Genomic DNA, 23,637 nt, shown 5'->3' on the forward strand with positions numbered 1-23,637 from the left:
ATTCTCTGAAGGTTTTTTTTCCATAGCCCCTGATATTGTTTCCTGGGTTCAATGGTTTTCTAGCCCTCTAAGGATATTAAATATGCCGTTTAAAATTGCAGTGAATTCTCTGAATTGTCTCTGCTTCGCCTGAGTTTTCCTCCCTCCCTGCCTCCCTCCCTTCGTCCCTCCTTCTTTCCTTCTTCTCCCTTCTCCACCTCTTCTTCCCCCTTTTTCTTCTACTGGGTTTTGCTTTAGATCCTCTCTTCCTTTCCTCACCATCCGTTCATATTGAAGAGTGAGGCACTGAAAAGCTCATTGAAATCTCTGTGTGTTGGGGCAGGGCTGGTTTAGTGGCAGGCCGCACCTTAAGGTTATCAGGTAGGAAGCTAATGTTTTACTGGGGATTCCCCAACCAAGGTCAACCAATGCCATTATCAACAGGTCTTTCTCTTGAGCCAGTCAGTTTACCCAGCAGGACCTTCCCCAGCCTCTTTCCTCTAGAATGTAAGCCAGGCTTCCAGAATTCTGGGCTCCCCCGCTTTCCCTTCCCATCAGAAGGAGTGGGTGATCACATTGCTCAAGAATGAGACTTCTGCCTGACCAACATGGTGGAACTCCCTCTCTACTAAAAATACAAAAAAATTTAGTTAGCATGGTGGCACGTGCCTGTAATCCTAGCTACTCAGGAGGCTGAGGCAGGAGAATCATTTGAACCTGGGAGGCAGAGGTTGCAGTGAGCCGAGATCACACCACTGCACTCCAGCCTGGGTGACACAGCAAGACTCCATCTCAAAAAAAAAAAAAAAAAAAAAAAAGAATGAGACTTTCACTTGATCATCCTGCTTTCTCTATGCTGCCTTACCTCTTCATCTTCCATGCCTGGTGCCTTCCCCAGATCCAGAATCTCTCCTTCAGCCTCTCCAGAGATTAAGCCTGTGTTTTGCAGGGTGGGATGAACAAAGCTGTTTGCCAGGGCTGGAGAGGAGAAGCTGACTTTCAGCTCATCCTTATGTTTGCAGCCCACTCCATCCCATTAACTTCACAGTTACCCATACCTCCATTTTCTAAACTCTTCCGTTCTTATTTTTTGTTGTTTTTCATGTCAAATTGGCTTCCTTTTTGAAAGCATCTCTGCCCCTTGCCTGCCCTGCAGCCAGCTTTTTTTTATCTGCTAAGTCAGTTAATACTCATCCAATGGGATCTTTCTTCCAAAATTCTTTGACATCATCCATCAGCTGTTGTCTTTTCTCTTGTTCTGATAGTTCTTGTGGGTTTAGACTTTACTACTTTACTGTCATTGTAGGAACAGAGTCAAACACATGGGCTAAATGTGCCAAGTCTAACCAGAAATTCTCTCCCTGTCCCTGCTGCCACACTCTTCAGCCTGACTCACGTTTCCAGCCTGGAATGCTTACTACTCCCCAGACAAACCCAGCTCTTCTTGGCCTCCTTACCTTTGCTGATAACGTTTCTGGAATGTACTCCTTGTCTCCTTTCCATCAAGACTCATCTTAGGGATCATACCCATGAAACCTCCTCCAATTTACCGCTGCTAGAGAAACATCTTGTCCTTTCTAAAGCTCATGTCATGTGCATGTTTCACCTCTCCTGAGGCACCTATGGTATGAACATCCATCGCTCTGCTATACAAGTTCTTTGAGGGAAGGGACAACAGCTTACCGTCTTTGAATCCTCTTCAGCCAGCAGTTGATCTACCTATCTATCTATTATAACAAGAACCATAAAAATTAAATGTCTGCCATAATGTGTACAGGCATTTTAACCACAATGGTCTCTAACACCTACAGTAATTCTACAAGGTAGGGTATTAGATTTAATTTTTAGATGGACACTCTAAGAGGTTAAACGACTTCACCAAGGTCCCATAGCCAGCCAAAGGCAGGATCTGAATTGAAGCACTGGTTTCTTTGTCTCTAAAGTCTATGTTTTTTATCCCAGCTGCTTTGTTTCAGTTATCTTTTTAATTTTAACATTTTATTGCTACCTTTTTATTTTTAACTTGGGTACTTAACATTTTTCTTTCACCTGTATATTACTCCTGCCACTCTGAAAGTGCAGGTGCAGTGTGGTTATTTTGCTCATTCCAAACTCCTGTGCCTAAAGCAAGAACCCTCAGCTTGGCCCTGTGGATCCATATCTGTCATTTATCAGGCATAATTGACATATTGGGTCAAGCAATTAGTAACAAATATGGTTAAGGGCATGGGCTCTGAAGAGAGGTTCAAATCCTGGCTTCTCCACTTACTAACTATGAGTGTGGGCAAGTTACGACCTCTCTATGCTTCAGTTTCCTCTTCTGTAGAATGGGCTTAGTAACGCCTGCAGTATATACGACAAAAGGTAATGGCGAGAATTAAATACATGTAAACTACTTAGAAGAGTGTATGGCACTTTATAAGCACTAATTGATGTTACCTATTGTAGTCACATATTTTGTCTCATTTAACTTACATTTTATACCAACCCTATGGAGTAAAAATTATTATCCTAACTTTGCAGGTGAGGAAGCTGATATGCAGATGCAAATTGAGATCTTCCTGACTCTAAAAGCATTTTCTTTCTTTTCTTTGTTTCTTTTTTCTTTTTTTTTTTTGAGACGGAGTCTCACTCTGTCGCTCAGGCTTGAGTGCAGTGGCCTGATCTCAGCTCACTGCAACCTCTGCCTCCTGGGTTCAAGCGATTCTCCTGCCTCTGCCTCCCGAGTAGCTGGAGTTACAGGCGTGCACCACCATGCCTGGCTTGTATTTTAGTAGAGACGGGGTTTCACCATGTTGGCCAGGCTGGTTGTGAACTCCTGACCTCAAGCGATCTGCCCGCCTCCGTCTCCCAAAATGCTGAGATTACAGGCGTGAGCCACCGCGCCCGGCCTAAAAGCATTTTCTTAACCACTGTGCTATACAGCCAGAGAGACAGATGATACTTGTGGACATCCTGCAGGCTGTTAAATGTTGGCGAGCCTACGAACAAGAAGACACTGGTCTGGACACTGGTCTCCAGTGCAACTCCAGAGAGGATGTGAGGGTATCATTACTGGGTAGGGATGTGCCACCCCAGGCTGGGAGTCAGGAAACCTGAGCTCTAGGCCTCCCTGTTGTGTGGACCCCCACTCTCTGTACCCTCCACTACCACCCCCAGGCCTCATTTCTCTCATCTTAGAGATGAAGGGTAGCACTGGCCTCCTGGGGCTCCTTGTAAAGGCTCCCAGCAAAACCAGGTATCTGCTGAATGCCAGCACCATCTGGTGGCCATGGGCCATAACCCAAGCCCATTGCTCCCCACTGCCACTTGGTGGCCACTAATGCCACCTTAGGTTTGCCAGGCATTTCACATTAAAAAAAGAATCATTGACATGATCACATGCTATCTTTTCAGCAACTTGAAGAGATATGTAGGATTTGGTACTATCTTTTCCTGACAGGAAGCTGGGGCCCAAAGAAATTGGGTAAATGGCATGGAGTCACATGGCAAGCTCACTGGCTGTCACAGCCGGGTTTAAAAGGCTCCGAAATTTTTTTTTGTTTGAGACAGAGTCTCGCTCTGTCACCCAGGCTGGAGTGCAGTGGCACGATCTCGGCTCACTGCAACCTCCGCCTCCCGAGTTCAAGTGATTCTCCTGCCTCAGCCTCCTGAGTAGCTGGGATTACAGGCATGTACCATCACGCCTGGCTAATTTTTGTATTTATAGTAGAGATGGGGTTTCACCATGTTGGCCAGGCTGGTCTCAAACTCCTGACCTTGTGATCTGCCCACCTTGGCCTCCCAAAGTGCTGGGATTACAGGCGTGAGCCACCACGCCCGGCCAAGGCTCTGAGATATTAAAGCTACCTATGAAATAGACTTTGCAGGCATATCGAGAATATACCAAGTGCAAGATGCATTACACAGGTCATTTAATTTAGTCTGAGCATACAACCGAGACTCAGTGAGGTTTAATTTACTCAGCATATAGGGTGTGACAGAGGCAGGATTTGAACCCCAGATTCTATGACTCTAACCAGCCCTATTTTTCTCCTCCTCAATGTCTGGGGCTGGCCCTGAAGCATACAGAACAATTAAGGCTTCTACCCTCCAGAATTCTGCAGTTCTTTAGGATTGAATCCATAAATTTTAGCTAGGCTGATAGCTATCCAGAATATAGACTTCATTTTCCTGCCTTCCTTGCAGCTAGAAATGGACCAATGGTAAGTAAGCAGGACTGGTGTATGCAGTTTCAGAAATTAAAGGGAGTGGGCACACCCTTCTTTGCCAGCAGCTTCTAAAACAACTCCCAGTGACCCTACTTCCTGGAAGTCATGCCCTTGTGTAGTTGCCTCCCCTGGAGTATGGGCTGGAGCTTGTACTTCTAACAGATAGAGGGTAGCATAAAACAATGGAAAGTAACTTCTTTTTAAAATTATTTGTTTATTTATTAGAGACAGGGCTTTGCTCTGTCACCCAGGCCGGGGTGCAGTGGCACCATCATAGCTCACTGTAACCTCAAACTCCTGGGCTCAAGCTATCCTCTCACCTCAGTCCCCAGAGTAGCTAGTACTACAGGCATGTATTACCATGCTTGTCTAATTTTCTTATCTTTTGTAGAGATAGGGTCTTGCTGTATTGCCCAGCCTGGTCTTGAACTCCTGGCTTCAAGTGATTCTTCCACCTCAGCCTCCCAAAGTGCGAGGATTACAGGTGTGAGCCACCATGACCAGCCAGAAGTCACTTCTAAGATCAACTTACAAAAGACTGTGGCTTCCATCTCCCTGACATTCTTGCTGGCTCTTCTTGCTTGCTCACTTGGATGAAGCAAGCTACCATGCTGTGAGCTGTGTTATGGAGAAGCCCATGTGACAAGGAACTGAGGGCCCTCTGACCAACAACCAGTGAGGAACTGAGACCCTCAGTCCAACAGCCTGTGGCAAACAGAATCCTGCCAATAATCATGTTAGTGATCTTGGAAGAAAATCCTTCCCAATTTGAGCCTGGAGATTTCTACAGCTTGGGCCAACACCTTGGTTGCAGACTTGTGAGAGACCCAAACCAGAGGACCCAGTCAAGCCATGCCCAGAGTCCTGACTTATAGAAACTATAAGATAATGCATGCTATTGATTCATGCCTCTAATTTGTTGGGTAGTTACACAGCAATAGATAACTAATATACCTTCTTTCTTCCTTTCTTCTTCCTTGCTAATTGGAAAATGGATGTGATAGTTGGAACAGACATCTTGGACAATAAAACAGACTTGAGGATTGAGGCCCTACATGGAGGAACAATGAGATAATAGAAGTCTGGGCCCTGACACCGTGATGATTTTGAAATGTCTTTCTTTCTCAGCTGACTTCAACCCTTCCTCTTTTTGTGTTACCCTTTTATGTAAACAAGGCTATGTCCAAGCAAAGTGGCGAAATAGGTCAAATTTGCCTCTGATATCCTAGTTGTTTCTGCATCTTCTTTACTCTTTCCTTGACATTTTCCTTGTCTAATGCTCAGTCCTCTTCAGTCCTTGTCTAATGCCCAGTCCTGCCTAGGATCCCCTTTAAAGCCCAGATCCTAGCCCTGGACATTTCTCTCCACCCTCTTCTTGCTATTGAGTTCTGGCAGAATGCCCAGTTCTAAGTTCAAAAGGCTGATAAGTGATGTGATTATTTGCTGCAGGAGTACAGGAGCAGTGGCAGGGGTGGGGCTGGAAGACAAAATAAGCAGATTTCAAATGATAACATTTCTGGAATTGTGAAATTATTAGAAAGAGAAATTTTTTTTTCTAAGGCTGAAAGAAAGAGGGATGAGGGAAGGCATTAGAATGAATGAGTGAATGAAAAGTGAAAGCCAGCCTGCTGTTGAGAATACAAAACGGTAGAGAATATAGATACTATTCCTTTTACGACTTTGGGAAGCAATTTATGATTCCTGAGTCCCTCTTTTTTTGTTGCTATTCTAGTAATGTTTGGATATAAAACATGATACTTGCTATAGGTCAGGAGAATTTGGCCTTTTGAGCTTCCATAATTTATTTCTATCATGGATCTTGTAAATGTTGTGTTTTTTAGTGTTGTCTTCCTGGCTAGGGATCAGGTACTGGCTTTCATTCATATTTGTGTTCCTGGCAACAAGCACTGTGCCTGGCACATAATAGGTACTCAGTCAATGCTGGAGTATGCTGTAAGGGAGATCTTTATTCCTCGATCCTGACTTTGGAAGCATTCTCAGGTTCATGCATGTGACACCTCCTTCACACACAAATATAGGCTGTCATTGCAGAATTTGTTCATTTATGTCACACAAATTTATGGAGCTCCTACTCTGTGCCAGGTACTATTCTAGATGCAAGGAGTACAACCATAAACGAACTAGACAAAAGTCTCTGCTCTCATAGTGCTTATGTACTGGTGGGGAAGACAGAAACTTAACAGATAAATAAGTACACATATGGTATGTTGGATGATGACAAGTACTATAGAAAAAAATAAAGCATAGGAGAGTGGTGACAGAATGTGGGGAGGATGAGAGTGGCTAGGGAAGACTTCCCGGAGGTGACTGTGGCAGGAGCCAGCTATACTCCCTAGAATTCTGTGCTCCTCTACACTCCCTGGCCTCTGTCGTAATAAAGCAGGGCTGGGTGGCTGGTGCTGGCCAATGGACTGTGAGCCGAAGGGGCGCATGTCACTTTCAGGCCAAGGCAATTCAGAGTCAGTGGGCTTTCTGCACCCCTCTCTTCTGCCTCAGAGCATTTAGAGGCCATGTGTTTAGAAAACAGTGTCACCAGATGGAAAGAAACTGGGTTCCCGAGAACTGAGTGGAGAAGAGAACTGCTCCTCATCTTCCTTGTATTTATTGCCCTGACTAATGCAGTGACATTTGAGCAAAGCCCTGAAGAAGGTGAGTGAGTGAGCCAAGTGGTTATCTTGAGAGAGGAACACCCCAGGCAGAGGGAACATGAGAGTGACAGCTGGACTAGGTTGAATCACTTACAGAGAACCAATTTTATGCCTCTCCAGCCTGCTTGGACATTTTGACTCAATGAAGTTTGCATATGTATACATGCAAACACAAAACTAAAGACTCCTGATTTTTAGATTAAAAACCCTGTACACCAGGTTTTGGTTTTGGCTTTTAAAATCATTATTATTTTCATTATTATTTATTATTTTTTTGAGACAGAGTCTCGCTCTGTTACCCAGGCTGGAGTGCAGTAGCACGATCTCGACTCACTTCAACCTCCGCCTCCCAGGTTCAAGCGATTCTCCTGCCTCAGCCTCCTGAGTAGCTGGGATTGCAGGTGCCACCACGCCGGGCTAATTTTTGTATTTTTAGTAGAGACGGGCTTTCGCCATGTTGGCCAGGCTGGTCTCAAACTCCTGACCTCAGGTGATCCATCCTCCTTGGCCTACCAAAGTTCTGGGATTACAGGCGTGAGCCACCTCATCCGGCCAAATTATTTTAATAAGCTTGATTCTTTAGAGTGATTTTAGGTTCACAGCAAAATTGAGAGGAAGGTACAGAGACTTCTCATACACTGCCTGCCCCAGGCACAGATGGTCTCCTCCACCAGAGTGCTACATTAGTTACAGCTGATGGACCTGCACTGACACATCATTACATCATTATCATCCACATCTACAGTTTACCTTAGGGTTCATTCTCGGTGTTGTACATTTTGTGGCTTTGGACAAATTTATGATGTTTCCACTATTATAGCATCATACAGAATCATTTCACTGCCCTAAAAGTTCTCTGTGCTCCAACAAGTTCCCTTTTTAAAAAAGGAAAAGAGGCCAGTTTATTTTGTGATTGTGAGCAAAAAAGAAATGACAAAGGCATCCATCTCCTATTCTCTGCCTTTTGCTCTCAGGAACAGACATTTTTTTCCTTCAGAAGAGATGTGGCTTATTCTAGATGCAGGGGTAATAGTGATGTCTGGGTCGAGGTCTGCATCCTTCACTCTTGGGGAGAGCTGGAGGCAATAGAGCCGGTGTAAGGACACCATCCAACTGTGGCAGCCCTCAGTGGCGCCCTCTTCTAGCTCCTGTGCACCCCGCAGGCCAGCCCTCACTGCTTCCCAAGGCTCTGAGAGCTCACATGCAACCTTTTTTCTCATTGGCTTAATTTCTCTTAAGACCACTTCACAAAAGCTCCATTGTAATCACTATCTGCTCAACTGCTTTCTCTTACTTACAAGTTTAGTAAACACAAACATTCTTCTGTCTAGGTCTTACTGACCTGTAGAAAGTTAACTGATGAATGGTACATTTTAAGTCAAAACATACTCTCTGAACCCCAAACATAGTAGAGCTTTTGGTACTCTTTCCAAAAAGAAGAAAATCATTACACTATTCTATATGGAAAAATTCCAATATATAAGCTGATGCAAATTTTGCCTTGCAAAAAAATCTCAATACCTGTGTTTAGATAAGTACAAATGAAACTTTAAGAAATTCCAGTATCACTGTTTCTCAAACTTGGATATCGTTCAGATCCTTTGTAAGGGGAAAAGATTCTCACAGATATCTAGAGTTAGCTTATAATTTTTTATAATGTTGCATACATATATGTGTATGTATATATGCAAACACAAAACTAAGAGCTCCTGATTTTTATAGATTTTATGCATCTATAAAACTAAAAAAATAAATTGAATACAAACAAAACTACCAAATGAGGAAATGCAAATCTACAATTTTGATTTAATATAAGGAATGATATTTTGCTGGAGCCAATATTCACATGAATATTGTAATACTGTGTGATGACTCAATTCTCCCACTACCCTTTGTTAGTGCAGCACACCACAATATAATTTGCCTATAACTTGGTGTGACCACATCATTTATTTTAAACATCATTCTCTGTTTTTTTTTCCTCACAAGTCTGTAACAATTCACTCAGTACTATTTGCAATCACAAATCCAGCAGTGAAACTGCATTCCCAGAATAATTATAAAGGGCTGATAAATTTATATAGATATTCCACTCCAATAGTAATCCCATACAGGTTAAAATGAGAGACCATTTCATCTATCATATTGGCAAATCTTTTTTTTTTTAAGATAAAATAAATGCCAGTGGGGGTGCGTGTGATGGGCACCACTGAGAGCTTCTGGTGAGAATGAAAACTGGCCTGACATTTCTGGAAGGCAGTTTGACCACGGGTATTCACAGACTTAAGAGTTTTCAAAGCCTTTGAATCAGTAATTCCACTTATAGGTTGCTAGCCTAAGGAAGGAAATAATTTTAAAATGTGGGCAAAGATAATGTGTAAGGATATTCATGGCAATGTTCTTGTTAGCAGTAAAAAATAGGAACTCCTGTATATGTCCAAAAATAGTGGAATAATGAAATACATGAAACTATATCATTAATAATTATGTAGCCATGACAAATAATATTTGTGAACAATTTTAGTGATGGTGGATAGTGCTCAAGATATAATAGTGAAAAAAAGAGGATGGATTATTAACTATATATCCTATAAATATATAGAATACACAACTAAATATTCTATGCAGTTCTATTATGTCACAAATGTAAATATACAAAGAAAAAGATCCAACGGATAAGCCAAAACTATAAGTGCCTTTTTCTGGGATGTGGGTAATTTCTGCTTTATTTTAAAATATTTCCTGAATTTTCCAAGTTTTCTACAATAAGCACACATTTTTTTTTATTATTATTAAGGCAAACAGCCCTGGAAAGGATAGCATTTGAGATTACTTCCTGCTGTGAACAGAGGTACATAAAAGGGCTGTTACTTTGGAGAGGTCTCAGAGTCAGTCTGGACCATCCTAAAATATTCTTTATTATAAGTTGAAATCTGCCTCTCTGCAACGTCCATACACAGGTCGTAGGCTTGCTTTCTTTCTACAGCTATTCAGAATAAGTCTATGAGTGTTGCAGAGATATTTCAAAAGGGTCAGTTTTTTAAAGTAATGGCAAAAACCGCAATTACTTGTGTACCAACCTAATAGCTACCTTTCCACTGCTCACCCCTATGACCCTGCTCTCCCCTACTTCTGCTAATTTCTTTTCCTCTGGATACTTTCAAAAGTTCTCTGTCACACAGGCTTTCTGGTCTCACCAGCTTGCTTATCCTTCTGTAGACAGTCTCTAGTTTAATAGCTTTACTAGAAAAATGTGATATTCAGAACCAAAGGCCGGTTTCCAGCCTTCTAAAGCACAGCTATCATCTTGCCACTCCTCTGCTCGAGTTCCTCTGGAGACTCTCACCAGAAGAGCAGAACACCCCAGCTTAGCGTGCAATGTCTTCCTGGATCTGGTCCTAGCCTTTCCAGCCTCATAGCCCACCACATCTCTAATACACACTACACCAGTGTCTTCAAACTATGGGTTGCTCTGCATCACTGAGTACTGAAATGAATTCAGTAACCAGCACTTAAAAAAAGAGAATAGAATAGAAAATACCAAGTTGCATTGTACACTCTAAGGGCAATTACTGTTTCAGCATATCTATCTATCTATCTATCTATCTATCTATCTATCTATAATGCACACTCACACATATGCGCATACTGTGTGTGTTTTTATACTAGGCCATGGCTGAAATGTATCTTTTTTTTTTTTTGAGACGGAGTCTCACTCTGTTACCCAGGCTGGAGTGCAATGGCACAATCTTGGCTCACTGCTGCAACCTCTGCCTCCTGGGTTCAAGCAATTCTCCTGCCTCAGCCTCCCGAGTAGCTGGGACCACAGGTGCATGCCACCACACCTGGCTAATTTTTGTATTTTTAGTAGAGACAGGGTTTCTCCATGTTGGTCAGGCTGGTCTTGAACTCCTGACCACCTGCCTCAGCCTCCCAAAGTGCTGGGATTGCAGGCATGAGTCACCGCACCTGGCCTGAAATGTATTTCTTACTGTGAGGGATGATTAAAAGAAGGTTGAAAGCCACTGGCCACACCACGGCTACATCAGGCCAATAACTAGTTCCCAAACTTGCTTTGTACTGCCTTTGATCCCACCCTTCCCTCAGCTAGGCATTCTCCCTGCTCTCTGCTACTGAAATCCTTCAAGGCCCTGACAAGATACCACATCCTTCCTTGAGTGTTTCACCCTTTCCCCCTGTCTGTGCGAAAATGGTGGTTCAATGTCTTTCTTTATATTACTCAAAACAGCCTGCCTTGTATTTTGTTATGTCTGTACACTGAATTCTTAGAAAATAAATACCTGGAGGACAGGGCAACACCTTCGGGTCTTCTGAAGGCCCAGAAGTCTAGTGAACCTAGCTGATGCTCAAAAATGTCTGCCCAACCGAATATTTTCTGTATCTCCTTCCAAGAGTATCTTCTGGTGTTCTTCCTCCTGTTTTCTTGACCTATATAGCCCCCAGCAGGCCTAAAATCTGTGTCCTGGGGCTAATGTTACGTACAGTGATGACTCTAGAAACCAGTCTGTTCTGAAAGCTTTCACCTTTCTTCAGGAGCGATAAGAGAAATAAGCATACGTTTTTGTTCATTTTTCAGATGTTTCCTTTATTTGAGACTATGTTTCTCCTGTATTTTTGGTGTTAAGATGTATTTTGGGGAGCAACACTGATGATATATTACAAGATAATAGTTGGTATTTTAGTATGTGTGTGCCTATTGTACTTATTTGACACAATAAATAGGCAATTCTGAGTTCATCTTTTAAAAAAAAAAAAAAGTTAAAAAAAATTTACTGGTTGCAAACTCCAAAAGGCAGGGAATCAACTTCCCTTCTGGGCTGGCTGCAAGTAAGTTCACTTTCTTAAAGGAGGAGCTTTCTCCTCTCACCTCAAGGACTGTTATTTATTTGTCTGCGCTACTCTTTCGACGTTTCCATTCTCTTGGTCCTCAAGATGTGAATCACCCATTTTTTCCGTAGGGGGGAAGACGGCGTATCTCTGGCCCTTTAAATAGGGGCGTGGTGAAGAGGCGCGGACCGCCCAGGAGGGGGAGCAGTGCGAGGAGGAAAGCGGAAGCGCTGCCCGCAGTGGTAGGTAGTGCGCGTGCGTGAGGCTAGAGCAGTGGGTGCGGTCACGTGGGCCGGCGGTCCACGGCCGGAATGGCAGCAAGCTCAGGTAACGAGTTTCCAGAGAGCGGGCCCGTGGAAGGAGACAGGATTGAGGGGCCGTATTCAGGGTAGGAGGAGAGCGCGCGACAGGTCTCTGAGCCTCGGCGTCTCCTCCCCGCGCGACAGCGGCGGGACCTCGGGGAGCGAACAGAGCAGCCCCTGACGGGCTAACCGGACCCGAGCCACGGGCCGGGCGGGGTTGATTCTCGAGTGGAGGGGCGTGTCGTACGTTGGCCCGGAACTGGGTCGGGCAATTTCCACTTACTGGTTCCAAATGAATGTGAAAATTCAAATGGGCTTAAGTAAAAAGGGATTTATTGGCTCCAAACCTGGAAGGGGCTGAGGTATCACTAAATCCAGTGACTCCGGTGATGTATTTGTGTATCTCTCCCTTTCTGCAAAGGGCCAGTAACCCCTCAGTTCCCTATCTACTTTGCGACTATAATTGCAAGCCTCATTCTGTCCTGTTACAGTCGTGCGGCAATTAGGCTGAGGGACTGGCGCGCCCGCTCCCCCGACTGTGAGCCTAGGCGGCGGGTGTCATGCCCCTCCCCACTCCCGGGCGGAACAGGTGTGTAGCCGGTCTGTCGGGCCTGGGAAACAGGTGTGGACCCCTTTAGCCTCCAGGGACTGATATCAAGGTGCCTGAGCCTGAGGCTTAGATGGGGTGTCCACCTCTTAGGATCGGTGCGCACCCTGTGAGGCTGGTTCCAGTTTGTCTCCGCGTGCAAGTTGTGCACCAGAGTGAGGGCAGCAGGGTGAAAGGTGGGCCTCTGAAGTTCGAGGCTACTCCTGTGCCTTGGCCAGTTCTTTGTGCTTGGCATCTGGGGAAGGAGGGAAACAGCTGCTCAGAGTGTCTGGGTGTACAAAATGGGGGTGCTTTACAGGAGGATAGGGTGGGAGGAGGTAGGATCGGTGAGAGGTTCCATGGCCGTGGGTTATCAGGAATAGCTAGCTGGGGAGCCTTCTTTAAATAAGCAGGCCCCCTCCACTTCTTAGATTCTTGTTAGAATGAATAGGAAGGCTTCTGGCCTCTGCACCATCCACCCTCTACCATACTCTACTTTCCCCTACTGAAAAACCCCAAAACCCAAGCAAAACAAGCATGGATGTTAGCTTGTGGTGCTAAACCTTACTCCAAATGTCTGCATTTGGGAGACAATTACATGTTAATTGTCTGTGTATGTCTATGTCTGCCTGTGTGGGTTTGAGGTATATCTAATATAAATGTGGATGGAGAATCTGCATATGTTTGTGTAAGACGTGGGTTTGCTCATGGTTAAATTTAAGCACAGAATAGGTATTGAATCCTCTGGCAATAGCTGGCCTGTTCCATAGAATATGCAATAAAGATAAATGGAAAAAAAATTCGTTGAACTACTGGGCTTTATATGGTCAAAGAGGCATTTGTGAGAAAATTCTTTCCAGAGCTCTAACAGAGTAATATGTTGATTTTTTCTTTATATTTAATATATTTGCTTCGTATCTGGACCATTGTCAGCAGATGGATGTTTTCTGTCTTCCAGAATATTGGGACATGTTGGTGATTCTTAGCTGTATCTCACTATTCCATTGACATTTCAACCAGTGTGACACAAAATGTCAGTTATGTATGTGAATGAGAAGTAAGATCTTTTGAATTTAATGAAGTATGTTTAACTTTGGATCTATTGATAGCTTTCATAGAGTTTAGATCGTATGTTCTCTTGATCCACAGCTGTAGGTGTCATCGGTACATAGTGGTAAGATCAAACTGTTGTATTCTTAACTGAATCTTGAATGAATATTTGACTTATCTTCACGCTGTATGACATTATTAAATGTGTTCTGTGTTTTAGCAAGGAAATATAGCTTTGCGTTGGATTTTTCACTGTTATGAATTTCTTAGGTTTACTGTAATAGCAATTATACTTTTTTAGTCAAAGATATTTCTGTTGCAAGTGACAGAAAATTCAAATGGGCTTAAGCTAAAAGGGATTTATTGGCTCCAAACCTGGAAGGGGCTGGGGTATCACTATATCACTAAATCCAGTGACTCCAGTGATGGAGTACTTGTGTCTCTCTCCCTTTCTGCAAAGGACCAGTAACCCCCAGTTCCCTATCTCCTCTGCAACTGTAATTGCAAGCCTCATTCTTCCTGTTACAGTCATGGGACAGTTAGGGGATATGTTCTGAGAAATGTGTGGTTAGGCAAATTTTGTCATTGTGCATGCATCATAGTGTACTTACACAAACCTAGATGGTGTAGTCTGCTACACACCTAGACTATGTGGGATGGCCTGTTGCTGCTAGGCTATAAACCAGCACAGCATGTTACTGTACTGAATACTGTAGGTGGTTGTAACACAATGGCCAAGTATTTGTATATCTAAACATAGAAAAGGTACAGTAAAAATACAGTTTAAAAGATTGAAAAATGTGAACCTGTGTGGGGCACTTACCATGGATGGAGTTTGCAGGACTGGAAGTTGCTGTGGGTGAGGCAGTGAGTAGTGAGTGAGTGTGAAGGCCTAGGACATTATTGTACACTACTGTAGACTTTTTGAACACTGTACACTTAGGCTACACTGAATTTATTAAAAATTTTTTCTTTCTCCAATAATAAATTAACCTTAGCTTACTGTAATGTAACTTTTATGTTATAAACTTTTTAATTTAAAAAAGTTTTTAACTTCTTTGTGATAAAACTTAGCTTAAAATACAAACACATTGTACAATTAGCTGTACAAAAATATTTTCTTTATATCCTTATTCTGTTAGCTTTTTTCTATTTCAAAAAATTTTAATCTTTAAAAACGAAGACGCAAACACACACATTACTCTAGGCCTACACAGAGTCAGGAAGGTCCCGGTGGAATGTCTTTAGAGGCAGTAACACATAGGGAACTGTCATCTCTTATGATAACAGTGCCTTCTGGAATACCTCCTGAAGGACCTGCCTGAAACTGTTTTACAGCTAATTTTTAAATTTTTAAATAAGTGGATGAGTACACTCTAAAGATAAAAAGTATAGGATAGCAAATACATAAACTGGCACATAGTTTATTATCAAGTATTATGTACTGCACATAATTGTATGTGCTTAGCTTTTATACTACTGGCAGTGCGGTAGGTCTGTTTACATCAGCATCACCACAGACAGATGAGTAATGCATTCATTACAACAGCTGTGACATCACTGGGCTACAGGCATTTTTCTGCTCCATTATGTGTAATGTTAGGGGACCATGGTTGTATATGTGGTCTGTCGTTGACCCAAAACGTCTTTTTGGGGCACATGACTGTATATAAATGCATAAAAGATGTGACTGCAGATGACTCCTGTGTTATGCCATCCAAGATTAAGCACCCTAGAATAAAGAGAAATTCCAGAAGTACCTTGATTGGCCACATAGGACCCAAGAATGTGATGTGCCTACTCTTCTGCTCCGCTAGCTAGGCAGATAGGGTACTTGATTGGCAGCACCACCAAAATCACATGGTTGGAATGGAGGAGAAGCAGTTGCCCTCCAGGAAAGGTGGCAGTGGTGCTGGGGTGTTTTAACCTTTGTTTTTTCCGTTGCAGTTCAGCAAGACGCTTCCAGTTACTTCCTGCTCTTAAAAAAAAAAAAAAAAAAAGAATAAATCTCTCATGACTCTATATCCTTCTTGACACCTAACCAAGAGAAATTGAGATGACAGTTAATTGCAAATTAATAAAGAAGGCCATCATCTACTCAGCCTTTACCTAAGTGGAATCCTGTCTTTTGCGCATTTAACTTACAAGAATTTACCTGCATCAGTCAGTTATGTGAAGAAGAAAAGGGAATATATTTCAGCGTACACAAGGCCCTTGTGCTTTTTAGGAGGAGTTCTTTGGAGCTGAAGTGGGTCTGAGAAGAGACATTCTCATGATAGTGGAGACAGTATTATAGAAGCTGGAAGTGATCATTTTTCTCTGTTATTTATTTCACTTATTACCTCACACACATATTGATATAAAACTGATCAATAAAGTTAGAATTTCTACATTATCTAGATATTTGTAGACTTCGTTCATATTATTGTTTTGTATATTGTGATAGGGGATTAGATTTTTCTTTTCTAGGCTGGAGCTGATTGTCTGACAATTCATAGCAGTAACTTAGCACTCACTGTATACAGGAAGGTCTTAGGCACTGTTCCTTCCCCTTACTTTTCTTTTTAACATTTTTTAATCTGTATGTACTTATGATCACTCTCCTCATTTAGACATTCACCAACAACAGAAAGAGAAACAGAGGGTTGGGCTTTTTCGTCGTGGCAGTTCTGGCACTGTGAGCTACAATTACCTAAATGTGCCTTCTTGGAAAGAAATTCCAGGGTCAAGTAAAGCAGCCCATCCCAGTATATAGTAATGTTTCTCTAAATAGGGTCTGTATCTAAATGAATAAGGTGAAAATTGAGTACCCTCAAAGTACCCCAAGAGGGAGTCATATCAGAGACTGACAAGCGGTGGGTCTCTCAGGAAGCCCCATACGGCCAGATCTTGTTTTTCCATGTTGGAACTGCATGGCGTTTGTTATTTTGAGCACAGGTGACGTGAACTGCTTGGGTGTGAGGCATGTGAGAACTGAGACATAGAACAGCAGCTGACCATCTCCTATTCTGTGCCCACTGTGAAGCAAGAAGTTATTGAGTGGAGGTATGCAGAATCATGAATCATGATTCATAGAATCATCTATATGAATCATTTCTTTCTCTCCTTCCCGTTGCTGAAGATAATAGATGAAATCCTGCAAATTGAATGGAAGTATGGTACATTTCCACTGTATTCATCTTGGCCTCTAAGCTGAATTAACGTAAAAGAACATAAAACATCTGAGATTGTGGGATTTGCATCATGTTATAAATGAGCTAAGTGATTTAAAAATATCTCTCCTAGATGCAAAGAATGGAACTTGCACAGATGGAGGCGTTTTGGAGTAGTGTAACTAACCATACTTTGTATTACGTGACCAGAACTGCTATTTGAGATTCTGGAAGCCAGTGATGCAGTCTTGCTTGGGTATTTACCTAGGGAGGGAGGGAGGGAGGGAGGAATGGGTGGATGGGTAGATGGGTGGGTTGATCAGCTGCTGTGTCATATCGGCACGGGGAATAGAATGGTGAACAAGGCAGATCTGGTCTTTGCTCTCTCATGGAACCTGCATTCCAACTGGGGGCAAGGAATGGTGGTTTAGACAATGAGGAAATCATTACAATGTGGTAAGTGTAGTAAAAGAGGAGAACGATGTTATGGGTGCATACTAACAGGAAACAGCCTAGTTGAGCAGGGCAAAAAAAGGCCTTCCTAAGGAAGCAAAGTTTTAGCCGATAGTTGATAAATATGACCTGCAGTGGTTGACAAGCTTGACTACATATAAGTAGTATTCAATTATAACTTGGCTTCTTATGGTATAGATTCCTATATGCTGTGAGTCAAATAATATCCTCTGGAGCTTAACAATTACAAGTAATAACACTGATAGATTTAATTTGCAACACAGATGTTATTCCTGTCTCTTAGTTCCTATGTTAATCAAACATTTTTCGAATGTCTACCTAGCTGTGCAAGCCAGTAAGCCCAGTGATGTGGAATATTCAAAGGAGCATGGCCCCATTTTTATTATATAGCTGGGGAGAAAAGAGTCACATGGTAAATTAACTAATGAATCAGCATGAGGAAAGAGCCAAGCCACTGTTTTAAAAGAAGACATGTTTTCTGAATTCAGAGGATGGTTAGGGAAGGAAGAGGTCATAGGCAGATCCAGTTTGAACGGTGCCCAGAAGGAAGAAAGGAAGTTAGATAAATGTAGAGAAAAAGGAAAGGAAAGGGAAGGTGAATCAGCTTGAGCAGACATGAAGGGAAAGTGGAAGCTATTCATGAAGGACTCTTAGTGCAAAAATAATAAATTCAATTGTAAGGGAAGGAGGCAGAAGGATCAGCTCGTGTGATATCTGGAGTCACAGGCTTAGAATTTGGGATTTTATCCTGGAGGCATTGGGAATCTGTTAAAAATAAGTCCACTTGTGCTGGGCGTGGTGGCTTACACCTGTAATCCCAGCACTTTGGGAGGCTGAGGCGGTCAGATGGCTTGAGCCCAGGAGTTTGAGACCAGCCTGGCCAACATCATCTCTATGAAAAATTCAAAAAATTAGCTGGGCATGGTGGTGTGCGCCTGTAGACCCAGCTACTTGGGAGGCTGAAGTGGGAGGATTGCTTGACCTGGGAGGCAGAGGTTGTAATGAGCCGAGCTTATGCCACTGCACTCCAGCCTGGGTGACAGAGGGGGAACCTGTCTCAAAAAAAAAAAAAAAAAAGTCCATTTGCCAGAAGGTAATAGAAAACTAATAGAAGTTAACCCACCATTGCATTTTATTTTTCCCTTTACAAAGCAAACCACAAAACAAAACAAAGGAATGAAGAGAAATGCTTGGATTGGGAAGGCCAAAAATAAAATTTGCATGTAATGTTGTACTATATCATGATTTTGTGATTGTTTTCTAGCATTATATAGTAAATAAAAACTTGATTCTATTTCATTGTAATGTGAAAAAGTATCTCATATGACACTTTTAGGAGGAAAAGAATGTCAGGATTAAACAGGATCATGGAGCTTGAGAACAGTTAGGAATAAATGTTTCCCAAGGTGAAAACTGGTGAAAAGCCAGGCATGGTGGCACAGGCTGGTAGTTGCAGCTACTTGGGAGACGTGAAGTAGGAGGATCGCTTGAGGCCAGGAGTTTAAGGCTAACCTGGGCGACATAGCAAGATCCCATCTCTTAAAAAAAAACTGGTGCAAGTTTAACTTGGCGTAATATAGGTCACACATTCTAGAGTTCTTATTCAGTTAGCCAGTGTCATAATTAAGTCATTGCTGTTTATATGGCGCATATCTTTTTTTAATGGTCCTTGAATCTATTAATTGGTTGGGAATAACAATTAAGAGGAAATAACAGAATTATCAAGATGTCAGATAATCTTATGTCTGAACTATTAAAATACTCATTTATCAGCACTCAGAAGAGACAGCATACTGGGTAATTATGATTCCATGACATGTATTTCCTATCAGATTAATCTGATTTCATTCTAAGAGAGACTAAGAAATCATGAAGCCTGTTTTGTTATGTGCAAGTACTCTCTGGTATGGTATCCTCTTAAGAACTATAAAAACACTAGCTCACATGATGGTTGGGTGAAGAACTAGTTGTAGAATTGCATCCCAGCAGGAATTTATGAGTGGTTCATTATCAACCTTTTACTGGGATAACATTTAAGGGATAGCTGAAGCAGGATCAGTATCAAGAGTGAAATATTAAGCATCATATAGTAAGCATTCCATCATTGGTGCATATATTGGAATGAAGGGCCTGCTTAATAAACACATGGGCAACACCAACCCACAAGGTAAGGGTTAATATTTCAGAATGTTGGATATGTGACCAGAAACAAATTAACTTATATTTATTAGTACAGTTGACCCTTGAACAATGCGGGGGTTAAGGGCACTACCCCCTCAACCAGTGGAAAATCTGAGTACAACTTGTGACTCCCCAAAAACTTTACTACTACTACCTACTGTTGAGCAGAAGCCTTACTGATAACATTAACAGTTGTTTAACACATATTTTGTGTGTTATTTGTATTTAGTTACAATAAAGTAAGCTAAAGAAAAGATATTAAGATTCTAAGGAAGAGGAAATATACTTGCTTTTCATTACGTGTAAGTGGATCATTATAAAGGCCTTCATCCTTGTCTGAACGTTGAGTAGGCTGAGGAGGAGGAGGAGGGGTTGGTCTCACTGTCTTGGGTGGAAGAGGCGGAAGAAAACCCACTTGTAAGTGGACCCTTGAAGTTCAAACCTGTGTTGTTCAAGGATCCACTGTCTATTCATTTCCTATTGTTGCCGTAAATTACCGTAAAGTTAGTAGTATAAAACAATGCAGATTTATTTTACAGTTCAGTACTTCACAAGTCTCACCCCAGTCTCACTAAAATTAAGAGATCAAGACGACTTCAGTCCTTCTGGAGGCTCTCGGAGACCATCTGTTTCCTTGTCTTTCGCAGCTTCTAGAGGCTGCCTGCATCCTTGGCTCCTGAGCCCTGTTCTCCGTGTTCAACGCCTGTGACATGGTGTCACATCTCTTTCTCTGGCGTTCTCTTCTGCCTCTCTCTTCCCCTTTCAAGGACCTTTGTGATTACATTGGACCCACCCAAATCATCCGGAATAACCTTCCTGTCAAGGTCTTAATTTAACCTGCAAAATCCCTTTTGCCATATCAAGTAACATATTCATGGTTTCTGGGGATTAGGACTGGCATTGTTGGATACCCTCATACTGCCTACCACTGGTAGATTCCCAGCTTAGGTACTTTCTGAAAAATTCACAGAAGCTGCTCATGTGAACTCTCCTTTTAAAAAAAATTTGAGCATGGTGACCTTTTGATTCACCAGGTCTCTTTGAGTTGGAAAAACTTACTGACTAAAATGAAGAAAGGAATAATTGCTGGTAAGTGACAAAAGAGGAACTTGGGAAGGGGACATAGTTGGCTTCACTAATAAAGTGTAGACTAATGTTGATGTTAAAAAAAACCTAAAACATGATTTTAGAATGAGTTAGTAACAATAAGACACTTCTGTTATAATTAAAGTTTTTATTAAGTGTCTCTGTTGCTTTGGTGGGGGCTGTACTAGTCTTAGACAAAACCCCTATCATTCAGCTCATGAAGAACTGCTGTGATATCCAGGATATCGTTCTGATATGCTTAGCACTGGCTAGACCTTTACAAAAATACTGGATTTTGTTTTAGAATCTTTAACTTTAGAAAACTTTGAAAATTTTGAGGTTTTAAATGTAATAGCTAATATCTGTTGAAAATTATGTCCAGACATTATTCTCAATGCTTTGTAATCATATCATTTGTTCCTCACAGGAGCCCTGCAGAGTAGGTAGTTGCATTTATAAGAGCCAGGACTCTCAATTTTAAGTGCTAAAAGAAAGGGGGAAGTTGGGAGAGTATATGTTGGTTTATGTAGCCAGACTGCCAGAAGGCTATGGGCAGAGCTAACTTCATAGAAGACTAGAATCTGAGGCTTGAATAATGTCAGAACTTTCTTCTCTACTTTTTTTTTTTTTTAGAGACGGAGTCTTGCTCTGTTGCCCAGGCTGGAGTGCAGTGGCGCGAACTTGGCTCATTGCATCCTCCGCCTCCCGGGTTCAAGCAATTCTCCTGCCTCAGCCTCCTGAGTAGCTGGGACTACAGGCACACGCCACCACGCTTGGCTAATTTTTTTTTTGTATTTTAGTAGAGACGAGGTTTCACCGTGTTGCTGCCCAGGCTGGTCTTGAACTCCTGAGCTCAGGAAATCCACCCGCCTCAGCCTCCCAAAGTGCTAGGATTACAGGTGTGAGGCACTGTGCCTGGCCTCTACTTCGTTTTTTTAGATAGGTTTCATGCTTGCTAGAGAATCTGTACCTAGAACCTAAGTTCTATCAATAGAGGTTCATCTCCAGTGACAGATGCTTAGTGTTTAGTTAGGTGTGTGTTAAGTGAATGATTTCTTTTCTGCAGAAGCGAGCTGGGTGGGGAATGTGGGATCTGCTCAGCCACATTATTCATTGTATAGAGAACAATGGAAATATCTCTTCCTCATCAGTTCCATTTTAATGAATCCTGGTGAAAGACTCTGGCTATCACATAATCCCTTATACTAAGGGATTTTTGACCATTAGCCTCTACGAGAACACATGGTTTGAAGGAGCCCTTCCCAGAACAAGAGACGCTGTTCTGAGCAAACAACACAAATGTCCACAATATTCCATTTTAATGATATAGAAATAGAGAGGTTCAGAAAAGGTAAACAAATTAACCAAGGTCACAGATAGGAACTCATAAAGTCCAGATTCAGACTTGATTTATTTATTTTATTTTTTGGGGGGTCAGGGGTGGGGAGAAGTGATTATTTCCTGGTCATTTCTAAGAAAAGTGGCCACAACAGCAGACCTAATAATAGACTCTTTGGCTTGTGTTCTGTCCACTTTGCCAGCACATTACATTGGTAAAAGGAGCTCAGTGAAATGAAGGTCAGAAATGGGGCAGGGTAGCTTGGTGGGATGATGTCTTCAGGGAGTGCCTGATCACCTGACACTTCTTCAGTGTGATATTGGGGTTCACAGATGCTGAATTGTTACATGGTCTTGGAACCTCTTAATAACTCCAGATATGAGATAAAAAGAGCTGGAAAAAATTGTTTTCCTTTCTGAGTTATTTTGGAAAGAGATAAAATATGAAACATTTTAGATTATTAAATCAGTTAAATATTATTTTCCTGTATGGTCTTTCCCACTATTTTTGAAAAATGTGTAAGAATAAAAGTTAATAACTATCTTTAGGAACCACTGAACGTGAATTAGATTGTGCATGTTTGTAAATAGTTGTTAAATAATTGCAACCCTTTTTGCTTAGTGGTACAAATAGGAGTTGAAAGACTTTATTAAAAAGTAATTTGTCATGAGCTAAGGTCTTTGAAGAAATGAGTATAAACATTAGTATTGCTACTGCATTTGGGTTATTGCAAAAGGAGCCCTATATTTAGAACCTGATGTTGGAAAGATACTTTAAAATGTTGCCAGGCAAAGAGTGGCCTCAGTTATGTGTTCTAGGAATGTGTTTGATAGTGTGTGTTTTATTAGGACACAACCCTATAAATAGAAAACCCATTTTCTGTAACGTGAAAGAAATTAGTCTGTATTTGGTAATATACCAAATAGTGTAATAGCTAGAAAAGTTGGTTTCAGCTCTTGAAAAGTCAGTTTCATAAGTCCATGATTTATACAAGGTAACTATTCATTTCTTTTAATATGATAAAAATGAAACATCAAAGGAAGTGAATTAATTATAGGTACTAAAATAATGAGCTTCATTAGATAAAATTGTCAGTGAATTTTTAGCATATTGTTTAAAAACAACTAATCTCAGTTCACTTTTTAAAAAATTAGTTATTTCAAGCCAGGCATGATGGCACATGCCTGTAGTCCCAGCTACTCAGGAGGCTGAGGCTGGAGGATGGCTTGAGCCCAAGAGTTGGAGGCCACGTTGACAATATAGTGAGACTCCATTTCTTAAAAGAAATTAAGTGGCTCAGTAATTACAAGTCTTTTTTTTCTGCCTTCACTAACATGCACAATCCATCTTTACTAACATACACAATCTAATTTACTAAGAGAAGCTCACTGCAGGGCAAGGGTTGGTGGTAGTGGTGTTTATACACGCTAAAGGCAGTATGTAGTTTGAAAGAGCTTTGCACTGAGAGTTTTGCCAGTTGTTTGGTACTGTGAAAAACATCTAGTTTAGGAAACAAAATGATCTTTATTATTATTATTATTAGGGCATTGTTTCTGTTTTCATATTTTTGCTTTATCCTAAACAGGTAAAGCTAATTGGACTTTTTAAAGTTGGGTCACTTGTGGCCTAATTGAAACACAAAGTAAAATCATTTAAAAGCAGACTTAATTATTAAACTTACAGTAATGTTTTCAGTATATTTTAGCTTTCTAAAAATGACAGTTTTGCAAGTAAACCAAATTATCTGTGATTTTTGATAT

The 23,637-nt window shown here is 41.6% G+C and overlaps 1 protein-coding gene across 24 annotated transcripts in view, besides 4 other annotated features; it reads left to right on the forward strand.

Annotated features, from left to right (window-relative positions):
• Positions 11,793-11,842: an enhancer, noted in NCBI's record as "active region_20914". NCBI's record gives its function as "activates an Ori minimal core promoter by ATAC-STARR-seq in GM12878 lymphoblastoid cells {active_cell/tissue: GM12878}" and the evidence as "EXISTENCE:reporter gene assay evidence [ECO:0000049][PMID:35858748]".
• Positions 11,903-12,102: an enhancer, noted in NCBI's record as "active region_20915". NCBI's record gives its function as "activates an Ori minimal core promoter by ATAC-STARR-seq in GM12878 lymphoblastoid cells {active_cell/tissue: GM12878}" and the evidence as "EXISTENCE:reporter gene assay evidence [ECO:0000049][PMID:35858748]".
• VPS8 (VPS8 subunit of CORVET complex) overlaps positions 11,975-23,637 on the forward strand; it is a 240,449-nt gene continuing 228,786 nt past the window's right edge. For 13 of the 24 annotated variants that reach the window (NR_146113.2, XM_024453428.2, NM_001349292.2 and 10 more), the window contains exon 1: positions 11,975-12,034. The gene's annotated coding sequence lies outside the window, so the exon portion shown is untranslated. Of the gene's footprint in view, positions 12,096-12,315; positions 12,599-13,553; positions 13,677-15,592; positions 16,691-16,930; positions 17,254-20,516; positions 20,542-23,637 lie in introns of those variants that run through there. The other 11 variants (XM_024453426.2, XM_047447823.1, XM_047447824.1 and 8 more) reach the window with 8 other exon arrangements.
• Positions 14,136-14,225: a silencer, noted in NCBI's record as "silent region_14970". NCBI's record gives its function as "represses an Ori minimal core promoter by ATAC-STARR-seq in GM12878 lymphoblastoid cells {active_cell/tissue: GM12878}" and the evidence as "EXISTENCE:reporter gene assay evidence [ECO:0000049][PMID:35858748]".
• Positions 14,236-14,285: a silencer, noted in NCBI's record as "silent region_14971". NCBI's record gives its function as "represses an Ori minimal core promoter by ATAC-STARR-seq in GM12878 lymphoblastoid cells {active_cell/tissue: GM12878}" and the evidence as "EXISTENCE:reporter gene assay evidence [ECO:0000049][PMID:35858748]".

Source organism: Homo sapiens, chromosome 3 (genome assembly GCF_000001405.40).
Source record: "Homo sapiens chromosome 3, GRCh38.p14 Primary Assembly".
Lineage (NCBI taxonomy): Eukaryota > Metazoa > Chordata > Mammalia > Primates > Hominidae > Homo > Homo sapiens.